At 52.8% G+C, this 16,188-nt stretch overlaps 6 annotated features.

Annotated features, from left to right (window-relative positions):
* Positions 349-1,061: an enhancer, noted in NCBI's record as "H3K4me1 hESC enhancer chr17:35169882-35170594 (GRCh37/hg19 assembly coordinates)". NCBI's record gives its function as "activates a minimal SCP1, AML or CMV promoter by ChIP-STARR-seq in primed H9 embryonic stem cells {active_cell/tissue: H9 hESC(primed)}" and the evidence as "EXISTENCE:reporter gene assay evidence [ECO:0000049][PMID:30033119]".
* Positions 1,062-1,774: an enhancer, noted in NCBI's record as "H3K4me1 hESC enhancer chr17:35170595-35171307 (GRCh37/hg19 assembly coordinates)". NCBI's record gives its function as "activates a minimal SCP1, AML or CMV promoter by ChIP-STARR-seq in primed H9 embryonic stem cells {active_cell/tissue: H9 hESC(primed)}" and the evidence as "EXISTENCE:reporter gene assay evidence [ECO:0000049][PMID:30033119]".
* Positions 4,390-4,895: an enhancer, noted in NCBI's record as "H3K4me1 hESC enhancer chr17:35173923-35174428 (GRCh37/hg19 assembly coordinates)". NCBI's record gives its function as "activates a minimal SCP1, AML or CMV promoter by ChIP-STARR-seq in naive and primed H9 embryonic stem cells {active_cell/tissue: H9 hESC(naive and primed)}" and the evidence as "EXISTENCE:reporter gene assay evidence [ECO:0000049][PMID:30033119]".
* Positions 4,896-5,401: an enhancer, noted in NCBI's record as "H3K4me1 hESC enhancer chr17:35174429-35174934 (GRCh37/hg19 assembly coordinates)". NCBI's record gives its function as "activates a minimal SCP1, AML or CMV promoter by ChIP-STARR-seq in naive H9 embryonic stem cells {active_cell/tissue: H9 hESC(naive)}" and the evidence as "EXISTENCE:reporter gene assay evidence [ECO:0000049][PMID:30033119]".
* Positions 14,423-14,923: an enhancer, noted in NCBI's record as "H3K4me1 hESC enhancer chr17:35183956-35184456 (GRCh37/hg19 assembly coordinates)". NCBI's record gives its function as "activates a minimal SCP1, AML or CMV promoter by ChIP-STARR-seq in naive H9 embryonic stem cells {active_cell/tissue: H9 hESC(naive)}" and the evidence as "EXISTENCE:reporter gene assay evidence [ECO:0000049][PMID:30033119]".
* Positions 14,924-15,424: an enhancer, noted in NCBI's record as "H3K4me1 hESC enhancer chr17:35184457-35184957 (GRCh37/hg19 assembly coordinates)". NCBI's record gives its function as "activates a minimal SCP1, AML or CMV promoter by ChIP-STARR-seq in naive H9 embryonic stem cells {active_cell/tissue: H9 hESC(naive)}" and the evidence as "EXISTENCE:reporter gene assay evidence [ECO:0000049][PMID:30033119]".

The raw sequence follows: 16,188 nt of genomic DNA on the forward strand, positions 1-16,188 counted from the left end.
TGCCCCCAAATGCTTTCATTTGCTCTTAGAATAAACCCCAAGACTTCTGTGGCCTGTGAGACTGTGTGATCATGCCCCTGAGATCTTCTTCAAACTCACTCGCCCCCCTGGATCAGAGCCACACTGGACTCTGGCTGCTCCTTGAACGCTGTAAGCTCATTCCCTCCTCCAGGCCTTTGCACTGCTATTTCCTCCGCCTGGAAAGTTTGTCTTCGCCATCCAGATCTCAGCTCCCATGCCACCTTTTCAGAGGCCTTCCTTGCCCACCAAGCTAAAATAGATATTTCGTTTCCCTCAGACACCACCTGACACGGTCTCATATGTCTGTGGCCTGTTGGTTGCCTGTGTCCTCCCTGAGGGTTCCTGTCTGGCCCTATAAGCTAGGTCTCTGGAACGCACCTGGCTGAGAGTGACTATTGGATGGATGGATCCATGCCTTGCAGCTCTGCCTGGGTATGTTAGAGGAAAACTATGAACCTCCTGTCTTCCAGGAGAAGAGATGGGGTGGCTGGAAGGCAGGGATGTGGTAGGTTGGGGGCACCAGGAATGCAAGGTGCAGCCCAGTCCCAGAAGCTGGAATCCAGAAAAGGGAGGCTGGGAGGCACTGCCCACCCTTGTCCTAGCCACGCCCCCCTCCACCCCCATGCCTCACACTCATTTCCTTCCCGGAGTCAGTCTCATTTGCTTTCCCTAAAAGCCGCTGGAGGAGCCAATATGTACGTGATGAATATTTCATCTCCTGAGCGTGGGTTTGCGGGAGAGCTGTGATCCCCTGGGGAGGGAGCACTGCCCAGCCGTGCCTGGGAAGAAGGGGGGCTGAGAGGGGCACTGGCAATAGGCTCTGAAGAAGGCAGGTTTTAGGGTCCACCCACCTGCTCCTGCCGACACCGTTGGCCTTGGGAGGCTCAGAGAGGTCAGGGCAGCCCGAATCTGAGGCACAAATACTTCGTGCCCCATGGGGCTCCCAGTCCTTCGTTGGGGTTCGCCTGTGGCAAGGGGCAGATGTTTTCCTGAGCCCAGAGATGCATGAAAAATGGGGAAAATGAGGCTTAGGGAGGCTGAGAGGGAGAGGGGAGAGAACAATACCAGGGTTCTGAGGTTCTGAGGTTTGCGCACCCACGAACCCACACTCAGGAGATGTCCAGGCTGAAGGTGCCACTGGCATGACTATGGCTGAAGGTGTGGAGCACATCCTGGTCCTCACATATAGTGGCCCCTCAAATAGGAGTCCTGGGAACTGTCTCCCCCTGGGGATGGGGGCTGGGAAGCTACAGCCTGAGAAGGGAAGGGAGGGACAGGTAAGCACAGAGGAAGAAGGAGGAATGAGGAGCATGTGGCTCACTTCGCTCCTGCCCTGTGCCCATCCCCAGCCCCACGCTGTGCTCTCCACCCTTCCCCTCCGTGGCCACAGCAGCCAATGATGGCCAAGGCAAGCTTATCCAGCTCTGGAAGCTGCCAGTCCTGGTTGCCAGTCCTCTGCTCCCTCACCAGTTGACTGACCTTTGAATCTACCTAAACCTCAGTTTCCCCATTTGAAAAATAGCATTAGTTATACCACCTGGCTGGGTAATTCTGAAGGGCCAGCAGAGTGCCTGGCACATGATAAAGACTCAGGGGATTTACAGTCTACACCACATACACATGCACACAGGCACACACACGCCCCACCATCACCTCTCCTCTGTCATCCACCTCTGGTTTGAAAACAAAGGACCACCCGTTGCCTCCTCCTTCACCCAGGCTCTCTCACCTCTCCCTCTACCCTGTCCACCCCCTCACCACACACCCCACTCCACAACCTTGAGCCTCTGTTCCCTGAGGAGCGGAGTGGGCGTTGGGAAGGAAGGGGAGGTATCTCATCTCCTGGGCCTCGGCCAGCCCTGGGTCAAGACGACCCCTTGCCGCAGTGTCCCCCAGCCCTCTGCAGCCAGATCTGCCCCTCCCCCGGCGGCCAGGCTCAGTCCCGTCCCTCCATCCCCACCCACCACATTACCCTCTGAATACTCTCATTATACCATTACTAATTAGGGCTGCTCAGCAAATTGGCGGCTGCATTCGAGGGAGACAGTGTGCGGAGCATATGGCATAATATCATATTAATGAACACTCTAAATTCAAACCCGGGTCAGCTGCTCGCTTCTCGCCAGTGTCACCCACGCTAAAGGAGGGAGGGGAAAAAAAGCAGTCAACCTTTCCCTCCCTTCCCTTGCCTCTCTCCAAACACACATTCTGCAGCGTGGGCTGGGCTGGGCTGGCATCGCACTGTGGACCTGCATGGCCCAAAGAAGGGCCTCCCTCCCGCCATGTGTAAGCGGACGCTTCTACGATTAGAACTAATTAATAATAAACCAGGGCCATGGCCGGGCTCTTCCCCTATATTATCTCTGTGGTTCCCAACATCCCTGCCGAGGGGGCTTCAGCACAGGGGGGCGAACTGAGAGCCTCTGAGGTCACGGTGCTTTTTCCGGGTGACAGGGTGGCTGGGCTGGACATCAACCTAGGCTTTCTGCTCTCCAGTCCTGCTTGTCCTGCTCTGTCCAGCCCACAGGTGGAGAATTTGGCTCGTCAAGTTCTACCCGGCACACCTGGGTGGACAAGCACCTTCCTCTTTCTCATTCTCTCTCCCTCGCCTCTCTCCCACGTTCTACAGAGGACGCGAAGATGATGAATTCACGTATGGCCTGGGAGTGTTGGTGGTACCCCCGGCCTCCCTGCATCCTGGGAGGAGGAGACGAAGCGGAAGCTTGGGTGGGGGGCGGATTCTGGGGTCAGTCTGAGGAGGCCTTGGGGAAGAAGTGAGCGCTAAGCAAGGCTCCCAAGAGGAATGGAAGGGCCTGAACCAAAGCTGGCTTGCCCTCAGCCAGGGGGCAGTGCCCACAGATGCCCTGGATGGAGCCTGTCCAAGGCGTCCTGTGTCTGCTAGTCTGAGCCAGGGATGAGCCTGAACGGGCCTCCCATGCTATCCATCTTTCTGTCTGATGGGCTGTTGTCAGTATCCTCAATAGGATCACAGGTTTCTTGAGCTCCCAATTCCTCATTTCACATCAAGGTAAGAGGCTGCTTCATGCCTGCTGCCCTTGAGCCCAGAGACTGCGGAAAGCGAGGGGCTGGCCACTTGTGCACACATCTCCTATCTCTGCCCAGGCTTGTCCTTGCCCTGATCAAAGCATCCTTCAATTTTGCCTCCCCCAAGGAGCCTTCCCTGATTAAGACCACAGAGTCCTTAGCATCTGAGAGTGTCTTAGAGATTGATCTTAGGTGGTGTCCCCAAATTGAGGACTGGGCCTTTCTATCACAGAAGGGAGGGTGGCCAGATCCTCACCGAAACAAATAAACAAAAACCTCTCCTGCCTGTGCCTGCCCCCACTCCAAACTCGGGGAGCTGAGCTTCCTAAGCTGGGGCATCCTCCGGGTGTCTCAGATATGGGGGTGCTCTGGGCTGGGAGTCAAGGTGGATTTCACCTCCAATTAAGTCACAGTGCAAACCCCTTCGGGCCCCTTCTCTGGCTGCAATCTTTGTGAATTCAGTTCCTGACATCCTCCCAGTCCTCCTCACCCAGGGGCTGTGAAGATCAGCAGATGTTCCGGGCCCAGGAAAGTGTTTATCAGGACACATTGTTAGGGGGAATCTTGTCAAAGAATTGGAGCTTCCAGGCTCCTCTCTCAAGTCTAACAGGAACAAGGACTTCCTGTCCACCTCTTGGGTGTATGTGATGAGTGTATGTGTGTGTGTGTATGTGATGTGTATGTGATGAGTCTGTTGGGGAGGACTGGGGATGATTTGGGGTGTTTACTTTCTTAGCAGGGCCCCAATCCGGAATCAGGGAGGAGTCACTTGGGTTTTGACCTTCGTTTTACTGTAGGTCTCCAGGGAGTGAGTGCCTTCTTTCTTTACTTCTCCGTCTATGGAATGGGTATATTCACAGTAGCTTAGCCGGGACTGAGAGATGCTTCTGTGAAAGACCCACTCCGTGAGGCTTGAGACTCTGGCCTAGCTGGGCATCCACCACCTCCCACCTCCTGCGTTGGCGCCATCAAGATGGAAGAGCTGCCTGACCAAGTGACTGCTCCTCTCCTGGGCTGTCACACAGGAAGAGAGGCTGGAGTGCCCTGTGCCACTGCCCAGAGACCTCTGCTGTGGGCAGCCTTGAGCTAGCCAGCTGTGGGGCCCTTGCTGCCACCCAAGGTGTGAGAGGCCCCCTTGGCGACAGACATTCAGCCCCCCACCGCATGACAGGTGCCTTCGTCTGTGTCTGCGGCACCAGAACCCAGCCTCAGCCACTTGGGGGCTCTGCCTGTGCATGCCACCCCCCCGCCCCGCACCCCCAGCCACCCTGCCTGGTATCCAGGCCACACTGTCTCATCCTGGGCCCTGCCCCACTCGCCACCACTCACACCATGGTCATAGAATCATTTTCCTTTGTCTCCAGAACCCACACACCCTCCCCTCCTCCCCGTAGCTCTACCAGCAGGGGAGCCCAGGAGAAGCAGACTAGCCAGGCGGAACGCAGGGGTGTCAGTGAGCCCTGGATGACAGTTATTTATCTGCCCCCACCAAGCCATTACCTACCCCCCCACCCCGCCCCGCCCCGCTGCTGGACCCCCATCCCTTCCCTCTCCGCTAGTAGAGGAGTAAACAAACCCACTCAGGGGGAGGTGTTGGCTGGTCTCTGGATTTTAGAAGCTGCTTGTGAGGACTTGTCTGGGGGTGGGGACAACCCCACTCCATCTCTCCAGAGGCAATAATGCAACTCTATGTTGCAGATTTGGCTCTGTCGTGCGTGTGTGTGCGTGTGTGTGCATGTGTGTGCCTGTGTGCGTGTGTACCTGCGTGTGTGCGTGTGCGTGCATGTGCGTGTGTGTGTGTGCATGTGCGTACGTGTGTGGGTGTGTGCATGTGTTGCGTGTGTACGTGTATGCGCGTGTGTGTGCATGTGTGCATGCATGTGCGTGCATGCATGTGTGTGTGAACCAAGGTTCCAAGGAGGTCTGGACTCTTCCCAAAGAGGAGAGGCTGAGCTAGAAGGGAGCTGAAAGGCCATCTCCTTGGAAGCCTGAACCTGGGGCCCAGGGAGGTGAGGGACCTTCCCCAGGTGACAAAGCCAGCAGGAGGAACCCTCAGGTCTGGGTAAAGTGTACTTTCCACAAGTGACCCCTATTGCTAGATCTCTGTTCAGAGACCCTGTAAACACCACAACCCCATACCCACACTTTTCACACAGTCTTCTCCCATTGGCCCTATGTCTGGGGTGAGAATGGGACCAGCTACACTACTTGTAGTTCCCGATGCAAAATGAAAGTGCAGGCCCCTTGTTCAGACATTATTAAGGCTTTCAAGATAGCGACAGAAGAGCATTAAACCATTAAACCTTCTAACCACAGGGCTCTGTACACAGATCACCAGCCCATGAACCTGGCCCTGGGCTAGGACCTTGTCAATCTATTTCCTCTGCAGCTGTGAAGACCTTGGGTAAAATCCCCACACACATTCTAGAAGCCTCCCTGCCTGGTACCAGGGTTCCATAGCCACTGCCACCCCCACCACAGCAGTCAGCTCAGTGACTCCAGCCTGGGGAGGGGAAACTGAGTCAGCATTCTGGACCTGGGCTGATCCCCAGAATCAGGTGGCGAGCTGGCCTGGGGGTGAGACTGCACCTGTCTCTTGCAGCGGGCAGTGGGCATAGGCTCTAGCATGAAGAGAGAAGCTGCTCAGAGCTAAGGCTCTGCGGATTTCAGAAGAGGCAGGAGCCAGGGTTTTCTGGGAGCTGTACTTCCTCCTTGTTTCCGTATATCTTGTAGAGGGCCTGTGTTGTTCACTTTTGTGGGTATGTAATGTTGTATATGCAAAGAAAGCCTGTGCTGTGTGCCTCATGTGTGCACTGCACACTTGTGTGTGCACTCACAGCCCAAGTGCAAGGTAGGCTGGCTTACTGCCCACTCCCCTACCCACCTGGTGCCACCCCCGTGGGTGTCCAGGCCCCCATGCCCATGGAGGGCATGTTCCTATCCTTGGGCATTCTGCATTGGAATTCAGGCCCTTGCCAGCCTGTTCCGTGCTCGCTAACTATAAACTATCTGATTTATATTCATTAACCAGTACTAGACAGCGGCAGGCACAGGCTAACTTCAGTGGGGGACAGGCCTCCATCGACAGGTGGACTGCATTTCAGTTAATTAAGGGGCTGTAATTGTTGTACAGGACAAGGGTCCCCAGGGCACAGGCTTTGTAAATAACTACCCTCCACTGCCCCCACCTTTCACCCCACCCCTCCCCGCCTACTTTCCTCCTTCACAGGTCTCAGAAGCCAGGTAAAGTAGCTGGGACAGGAAAGAAGACTGTGGAGAGGTGGGAGTGAAGACCTGGTTGGCGGGGGATGCCCCTCCTACATCCTTGCAAGGCTACAATTCCCTGGGGTGGGCTGGGGCTGGGCTGGGGGAGCCCTGGGCAGAGCATGGTGGGCTGGGTCATAAACAATGATCTTACTGCCCAAACTGGCTGAGTCCAGGAAGGCAGGACCCACCTCCACACACGCACTCTTGCACGCAGGAACAAACACAGACACACAAAGGTACACATGCACACCTCTCCAGATCTAGTTATTTATGCTGTTTTCCCCTCACCTGCCTACATACCCACCCTGTGAGCTCAGCCCTGGCACCTGGGCACTGGGCAGGCTTTCTGGCATCTGTTCGGCACAGGGAGACTTCAGGGGGTCAGGCAGAAACTAAACAAGAAGGAGCTGTCATCTCACCAACCTAGAAAAATGAAGGGAGGCACCTACCTCTCATAAGAATTGATGAGGGAGGCTTGTGGCCTTTGGAACTCTCAAATAGGGTGACTTCTGGTCTGATAGGGGATGGGAGGGCCATCCAGGGGCTCCCACTTTGATAGCGAAGAGGGTCCCTCCTCTAAAGAAATTCCTGACATAGAGCGAGGGACGGGAGGTGGTCTGGGAAGACAGGAGTCTGATGACGGAGGTACACACTAAAGACGCCCACAGCACCAGTGTGAACAGGTATCATTCAAGTGTGTGGATGGTCCTGGAGAATGCCACAGAGCAGGCAGGGCCTCCGAGGAGACGAGAATCTTGACCAGAGCTTTAAATTAAGGGATGATCCAACTATGGCAGCGGAGGAGGCAGCTTTGCCCCAGGACTGTTGCTTCCAGCTCTTCTTTGCACAGATGCCTCCAAGTGCCCACTGTGTGCCAGAGGCAAATAAAACTGCCAGGTTCCCTGCCCTCCCAGAGAGCAAAGAGTGAGAGACCACGTGTGCACGCATGTGTATACATACCTGTATGTGTGCAGGTCATGTGTATGTATGCCTATGTGCTCTGAGCATATTTTCCAAATATCAGTTGAGGGTCTGCTACATTTCAAACACCCTATGGACACAGGACAAAACAGCAAGCATGACATTCACCTGTGTACATGTGTGTGGGCATGTGATACGTGTCTGTGTAGTGTGCACATGTGTCTGTGTGTGCGTGTGCAGGCCCTGCAACGGAGCTTTCGCCAGCCCACTCAGGACTTGAACCAAGTCTCCTACCTTGCAATCATTCTCCTGGAATTACTATCCTTGGATATTTTTGAACCTGTGACTACTTCTGCTTGCACTGCCCACCTCCACCCCTTGCTGTGGGCCAAGGGAGCCTATATGTGTTTTGTTTTCTGCCTAAAAATGTATCTGCTGATCTTGAGTCACTGAATAATCACCCTAAGTCAAATCAGAATTGAGTTTTGTTAGGCTCAGGTGGGTGGATCGCTTGAGCTCAGGAGTTCAAGACCAGCCAGGGTAGCATGGTGAAACCCCATCTCTAACAGAAATACAAAAAAAAGCAGCCGGGCTTGGTGGCGCATGCCTGTGTTCCCAGCTACCCAGGAGGCTGAAGTGGGAGGATCACTTGAGCCTGGGAGGTGGAGGTTGCAGTGAGCTAAGATCACACCATTGCACTCCAGCCTGAATGACTGACTGAGACCCCATCTCAAAAAAGAGAGAAAGAAAAAAGAACTGTTTTTTGTGAACTTCACTCGCAGTTCAGGGTATCTGCACCCATCCTCCACCCTGCCCCCCACCCACACCCCATCCCAGGCATAAATCGCAAAGTTGGCCACAACCCTTACAGCGACTTTCGACAAGGTGCTCTGGAAGTAGGCATTTAACTTGGATCTATCTAGACAGAGTCTAGCAAAGAAGAGAAAATAAGTTTCCATGTCTATCCCCCGCCCCACCCCCATTTCCACCTATCAGCCCTTATCTAAAGGAAAAATTAGAGAGTTATTAGGAATTTGATTAGGGGTGAGCAGGTTGGTAATGAAATTACATTTCAGCTCTTTCTCAGCCCCTGTAAGTATTAAGTGGTTTGATCAATGGTGTTCATACAATTAATTCTGCCTGATTGCAGAGAGTGACTCTATCGACAGCCGGGTTTCCCACCTCGAACTTTGTCTCTTAGCCAAACGTGCCTTCGGGAAGCTTGGAGGGTGCAGGTGGGGGCCCCTGTCAGTGAAGCCCTTTGCTGAATGCCACCTTCAAGCTCATATGGATTATTTTTTCTTTAAGCTTAAAGGAAATTTAGGAATCACATCAAAATTAAATTATTGAGTTCTAGACCAGGAGAGACGAGATCACACACCCTCCTGCACCAGTTTCTTCATTTGACCAGCGTTTCTTGAGCACCCACACCAGCTCTGAGACCTAATCCTCTCCAGGCTCCCTTCCTGGGACAGGGCAACACAGCCATCTTCCCCTAGCCTCTCCTGGGTGTTATCCCTGGCTATCAAGAGAGCCTTCCCTGTATCTCACTCAAATCTCTGCTGCTTTAATTTAATCCACCGACTCTCGTTGGGTCTTTTAGGGATGTAGAAGGCTGCTTCATATGGCCCTTCATGAAACAACACCCCCGACAACAAAGGTTGTATTCTTGAAGCTGGGGAACCTCCAATTTCTGGGACTCTGCCCACAATGACATATTTCTTTCCGTCACCCACCCTGTGTCCCTGTGGCCTCTGGACACATTGCTTCAGCAGGGGTGGGGTGGCACTTTGTAGGTTTGTGGCGACTCTTTACATAATTCCAGAGTAAGCCCTGCTGCTCAGGAAGCTTCCCTGGAGAGGTTACATTTCCTGGAGGGGAAGGCTGTTAGGGGTGTGGGTGACCATGAGATGCTGGGAAGGCTGAAGGGGCAAAGAGAGGACACAGATAGACTGAGACTGGGAACCACGAAACTTTCTAATATTGTATTATTTGAACCTTCACTGAAGGACATGTGCTGTTGTTTATTTGTCTGTTTGTTTTTTAAGATGAAGTTTTGCTCTTGTTGCCCAGGCTGGAGTGCAATGGGAGGATCTTGGCTCACTGTAAACTCTACCTCCCGGGTTCAAGCGATTCTCCTGCCTCAGCCAGTAGCTGGGATTACAGGCATGCACCACCCTACCCAGATAATTTTTGTATTTTTGGTAGAGTTGGGGTTTCACCGTGTTGACCAGGCTGATCTCGAACTCCTGACCTAAAGTGGCCCACCGCCTCGGCCTCCCAAAGTGCTGGGATTATAGGCGTGAGCTACCGTGCCCAGCCAGAACGTGCTGTTTTAAGATGTGGATTCATGAAATTCTCCCAACTGCCCGATGAAATAGATGCTCTTTTATGCTCCTAAAGCAGATAAGAAAACGGAGGGATAGATGAGTTAAGGTCTCCTCCAACCTAGTAAGTGGTGGGACTTCCTGAGAGGAAGAGTGGAAAGGGAACCTGCTTTCCTTGCTCAGCTGGGGCTCACCCTAATGCCCCAAAGACCTCCTCCACCTTTGGGCAGCCCTTCTCCAGCAGAAACAGAAGTGAGGGCTTGCCAGCAGCCCTGGGGCACCCCAGTCACTCACCCTTACCTGCGCTTTTTTTCTCAATGTCAAGAAGGCCTCCTTGCTAGCATATCTGCCTCAGTATCCCAAGAATTCCTGTTGGGTCACTTGTCCAGTTCTGACAGCAATGGGCAAATTGTAACATCCAATGCCAGCGCTGCAGCACCAGGGGTTAACAGAGGAACCCCTTGAAGGAAAAGGATTCTGTGCTCCTAACTAGCAGGATGTACTGAGTGAAGAGGCCAACTGGCCAAAGCCTTGGGTGAGGGGCTTGTGGGCCAGGGAGGTGGCCTTTTACCTGTTTGGCCAAAAAGAAGGGAAAGGAAATGGTTATAAGGCCCTCTTTCTTTTTGTAAATGTTTACTCCAGATTCTCAGCCCAACAACCATAATGACCAACAATGAAGCATGCAGTCCACTAATTTTCATCCATTCATCTTATAGGATATATGCATCAACAATACATAAAAACATAGGCACATGTCCATGATATAGTGTTAAAGGGGAAAAGCAGTATGAGCCCAACTTGGAGTCTGTGTGTGTGTGTGTGTGTGTGTGTGTGTGTGTGTGCGCGTGAGGCCCTGTGCTGAGCAGTAGCCACAGGTAATCTTGTGTACCCCTGTTCGTAATCCTGTGGGGTGATAGCATAATTATCCTCTTTTTATAAATGGGGAAACTGAGGCTGAGAGCATTTAGGTCACTCACCCAACACAGCTAATACCTGGTAAAGTCACGATTCACATGTGCTCTTAATCATTGCCTTATAATGATCCTGTATCCTTGGCCAATCCTTTTCACCTTACAAAGGATATTCGTGTTTATGATTTCAAATAAAAATATTCACAGCCACTCCAACAAGCATCTAATAATGAGCCCATTTTAGAGATTAAGAAACTGACACTCAAAGAAGTTAGGAGACTTGCCCAAAGTCACAGAGCTAATCAACTGTTGCAAAAGAAGGACTCCAACTCAGGTCTGTACAGATGCAAAACCCTGCACTATTTCAGAGAAAAATAGAAACAGAGATAAGAGAAGCCAACATGGACAGACATCAAAACAGACACAGCAGAGACAGAGTGACACACAGCCTGAAAAAGGGAAAAAAAGCATTTCCCTCCCTCTGCCTGTCTCTACTCAAATGCAGAGGGGAAAATATCATTTTAAGCAGGTGCCTTGCAGCCTTGCATTTAAGAAAAACGCATGGAATTAAGTTCCTAAAAAGGTAGGAAAGCTGAACCAAACCATCACTGGGGCTTGAAATGAGATTTTATGTTTTCCCTATTCTGGGCACTGAGCCGTCAATGGTGCCACGTGCCAGGCTAGTGAGGACCACTTGTTCGTTAGGGGTACCAGGGGATGGTGGCTGTCCGCCCAGCCTGGCCCAGCCTGGCCCTACCCTGGTGGGTGCCAGCTGCTTGCCAGGCCCATGAGAGGGTTGGGCTCAGAGAACACCTGTGTGGGTGTTCTAACTCCTTGCTGCCCAAAGTGTGGTCCACAGACCAGCAGTACAGCACCCCAGGGGAGCCTGCTAGGGATGCAGAGTGTCAGGCCCTGCCTTCTGAATCAGAATTTGCTTGAACAGGAGCTGGGAGTGACGTGTCTATCCATCACAGTTTGAGAAACCCTGCTCCAGCTGAAATCTGAAAAGAGGAAGGACAGGCCCAGGTCTCAAAGGCCTTCCTCCCGCTGCCTGGGGCCCCCAAATCTGAGCGGCGCACACAGACTCTGGGAGAGCTGAGGCCTGAGAGGTTGTGGCTGTGGGTACAGGGGAAGGTGGGAGGGAGGGGCCTTCCCCCACCTGAACTGCTTGAGGCGCCTGCCAGCCTCAGCCAGAGAGGGTGGGGGTGGGGGTTTGTCTTTGTCAGCAGATCTTTCTGGTAGGAGAGTCAAGGTGCCCCTAGTTCCCTCCCCTCCCACGTGAGTGTGAGAACGCTGTGTGCAGGGATGGAGGGCAGGTGGCCAAGGGCACCAGGTTCACCTTCCCCAGAGGCACCATGGTCTTGATGCCCGTCCCTGCCCCTGCTGGCCCCAAAGGGTCAGACCGAGGAGCTGCTTCTCTCCAGAATAAGGAGGACCTCAGTCCCTCTGCTCCCTGCCCCAGGCCTGAGAGTTTCCCTTCCTCCTTCCTCCGCCGACTCCTACTAAAGCACCTGCTCCCCACAGCCTCCTCCAGGACACCTGGCTCACAGGGCCAGTCCCTCTGACCATCAGAACCTAGCAGGTGTGGCCTTCGGCTGGCTCCCAGCACACAACTCCTTAAAGAGACCCTGAGAACAGAGACTCAGAGGCCATGAGTGGCTGTGATGGCGAAGAGTTGTGCCCATGGTCTCAAGCCTGGGGAAGGGGCTGGGCTGCCACTTTTAGCTCACAGAAGTAGTCATCATCTAGTTCGAGAGGTTCTCAGTCCTGGCTGCACACCTAACTCATTTAGAGAACTTTCGAAAGTACAGAGGCATGCGGCCCAGCCCAGACCAATAGAATCAGAATTTCTTGGGATAGGTGGGAGTGGTAGGGGAAGAGGCATTTGTCTTCTTTAAATACTCAAGTGCAGCCACCTAGCCAGTCTACCCACCTCACTGCCGATGAGGAAGTGTGGCCCAGGTAACAACAATACAGCTGCACCCCATAGGAAGGGCTTACTCAGTGTCTCACAGCACAGCCCAGACTACAACCTGCCCAGGCAGCGCAACAGACACCAGGCACTGACAGGTCTACCAAGCTCAGGCGCAGGTGCAGAGGGAGTACAAAGGCCCCTTCCCAGCCGGGCTGGGAGAGCCCTCCTCCCTCAGCCTCCAGCTGGGAGTTGGTGGGGCAGGGGCAAAAACTGGTGCAAAGAGCTCTGCCCCTCAGCTGCTGTGTGACCTCAGCCAAGTTGCTTAACCTCACAGACTCTCCATTTGCTCAAGTATTTAAGAATGCCTAGGCTGGGCACGGTGACTCATGCTTGTAATCCCATCACTTTGGGAGGCTGAAGCAGATGGTTTGCTTGAGCCTCAAGAGTTCAAGACCAGCCTAGCCAACAAGGTGAGACCCCATTAAAAAAAAAAGTCAAAAATTAAAAAAAAAAAAGCCTAAATTGCAGACTTTCGGTAAGGATGCCTAACACATGGAGGTGCTCAGTAAAATGTTGCTGAAGGAATGAATGAATGAGTGAATGAATGAATGAATGAGTGAATGAGTGAATGAATGAATGAGTGAATGAGTGAATGAATGAATGAGTGAATGAATTTACACCTGGTGCTCTACTTTGACACCTAAGATCGGGAAACCAAACCCAAGAGAGTCCTGCTCATCCAAGGTTCCTGAGCTTTTGAAACTTCTGGGAAGGGTGGAGGCAGGTGAGGTGGTGGAGGCTTTTCTTCAAGGGGCAGAGTTTATCCACATGGTTGAGGCCCCAGGATTTCAGGCCAAGGCGTGGGAAACTTGACAAGAATAAGTGTGTCCTTCATCTTCCAGCGGCCTCCTGCCCCGGCCTGTTCCACTGGAAGAGCTTTAGCTCCACTGTGGGAGGGGCTGGACTACTCTCCTTCCCTTCACCCCTCTCCCCTGCTGGGGCCCAGCCAAGGCACAGCGCGGGGGTGGGGGGTCACCTAGATGCAGTGTTGAGCTGTGCTGAGATCACAGAGATGCTGGCGCGGCTGACCCCTGGGGTGCAGGAACTGGCAGCGCCCCCCATCCTGGGCCAGCAGGGGTGAGTCTAGCCAGCAGAGGGAGGTGGGACCCTCTCAGACTGGTGACAGGTAATTGGCCTACTCTGAGAGCTGGAGGAAGGAAGAGGGTGAGGGGAGTCCCTCTCAGCCTCCCTCCTGCCTACAGGCTCCAGCAGCACCCATGGGCACCGCCCATACCACATTCCCAGTCAATTTCCTGAACCTCAAACTTCTCCCTGCTAGCTCTGCTTCACCGCTGCTGCCGCTCCCCTTTCCATGAAAGCTGCACCTCCTGGATTTCCTTCTCTCATTCCTCCCCCCACCCCATGTCACCATAACCTCCGGTGCCGGTGCTGGCTCCCCTCCGTGGGGTGCCCTGGGCCACAGGTGAGACCGGGCAGGGCCCACCACAATTGGCTCCTTTATCACTGCTTTGATGAGACAAAAACCCTGCGGATGGATGAAGAGATCAAACTAACCGTCCTGGGGCAGGAAGGTGGGGTAGGGAGTATCTCCCAGGATCTGAGCTGCCATCCTGGGGCAGGAGGGGGCACTGGTTTGTTTTCCTTCCTTGAGCAGGTACAAAAGAAGCCACATTCACGTAACCCTGCCTTTGAAGCTTGCCTTTGAAATCTGGACTCCTGGGTCTGTGCCAATCAGGCCCAGACGCCAGTACCCCCACCCCACCCAGCCCACTCAGCCCTCCATTGATGCTGCAGTTGGGAGATCAAAGGGTCCTGGCCCCCTCCTCACCTGAAGTCTAGGACCCTGGGTTGGGGACAACTGTCAGGACCAGAGCACAAACACAGATTTCAGAGGACTCCCAAACATGCATCGGGCATCTATTATCTGCCAGATGTCTTCACACATAGGGATGGCCTCATTCTTCCTCACAGTCATCATTGTGTCCTGGGTCCCCTTTTACAGATGAGGACACGGAGGCTTTGAGAAGTTAAATAACCTATCCCAGTAGTTAGGATTGGAAACCTTCCGATCCCATATCCAGGGCTGTCTCCCCACTGGAGAGTCCTACCACCCTAAAGAGAAGACAATTCCCAATTCCTGGCCACTAATCCAGTGATATGCTTCAGTCCGCAAAGCCAGCATCTCATAAAACGTCGCCCCTTTCTTATTTCAACGTGCGCTAATTTCCTTCCTCCCCTCCTCTTCACAGGTAGGATGGACAGGCAGCCAGGTGTCTGCCAGGGAGCTCAGTTTTCTTCTTCTCCAGGCACATCAACTCTCACTTTGCCTTTGAATTTCTGGCAGCAAGGACTGGAGAACCCACAGAACAGGAATACCCCTGTCTCAACACTGAGTTCCCCCTTAGAATAATGGAGGGGTGGTAGGGGCCAGCCCCCATGCGCTCCTTCCCAGGTGGAGAGAGGCAGAGCGGAAGACCTCCCCCACTCCAGCGCAGGCTGAAGCCTCTGTCACCTGAACCCTCACCTGGCCCTCCGCTTCCTCTCAGCACCCCATCTCCTGGCCGCTTACCTCGCTCCAGACAACCTGATCAAAGGCAAGAACCTGGGAGCCATTAATGATCTCCTCCTCTCCTCCTCCGCCTCTCTCCCCTCTCCACCCCTTCCCCTGCTCTTCCTGCCAGGACATAAATAAGCAATTCTCCCGGGCGGAACAGGCGTGGCAGAGGCAGAAGGACCCTTCTACATCAGCTCCCTCAAGCTGAGACCCAGAGAGATAGTGACTTTCTTATGGCCACACAACAAATTAGTGGCTGAGCTGGGACCAGGGTAATATTTAGATCTTTGGAAGCCTAAACAATGAAGAAATTTTGTTTTCTCCCGCTGATATAGGTGTTTCAAAATAGAAACAATATGAAGCTGTGAAACAGAGCTAATAAATATCAGCTCTGTCCAATAGAACTTTCTAAATTTTTCATGTGTGTGTGTGTGTGTAGACAGGGTTTAACCATGTTGCCCAGGCTGTTCTCAAACTCCTGGCCTCCCAAATAGCTGGGACTACAGGCATGAATGCCACCGCTCGTGGCCCAATAGAACGCTCTGCAATGATGGAACTATTCTGTATTTGTACTGTCCAATATGATAGTAACTAGCCACATGTGGCTATGAAGCACTTGAATCGTGCCCAGTGTGACTCAGGAGATAAACTTAATTTCATTTCACTTTAATTGACATTTATATAGCCGCATGATATGTGATCATGCTAAGTTGACATCACTTCTTTCTAGATTTTTTGCTTGCAAAATTCTGGTTAAGTTTATCAAAACTGAACTTTTTGGTTTGGGTTTTGTTTTTTTGGAGGGGGGAGGGACCCTAAACCACTAAGTCTTAACTATTGAGAAAACATGTCCTCTCTAGAACCCATATTTGGGTCTGTAAAAAGGAACAAATACAAAGAAAAATCCTATGGGATGATGTCAAAAGAGAGATAGATTACATCGTGGCGGGCATGGGAGGGCCACCTAAGGGGGACTTTCATGGAGAGGGCAGTGAAGTAGACCTTGGAGGATCCGGGCAGGGGAGGTTAGTGAGAGGTAGGGGCATCCAGGCAGTGGAAACAGCATAAGCAAAGGCACAGAGGCAGGAAAGATAGAGTATGCTCAGGGTCAGTGTCTAGTGCACAGGATATATGTAGGATCAGCAGGACATGAAGATTTCCCAGTTTTCTGAGCTGCAAAGATTTCCCAGTTTTCTTTCACCTTGT

This window comes from Homo sapiens, chromosome 17 (genome assembly GCF_000001405.40).
Source record: "Homo sapiens chromosome 17, GRCh38.p14 Primary Assembly".
NCBI classification, from domain to species: Eukaryota; Metazoa; Chordata; class Mammalia; order Primates; family Hominidae; genus Homo; species Homo sapiens.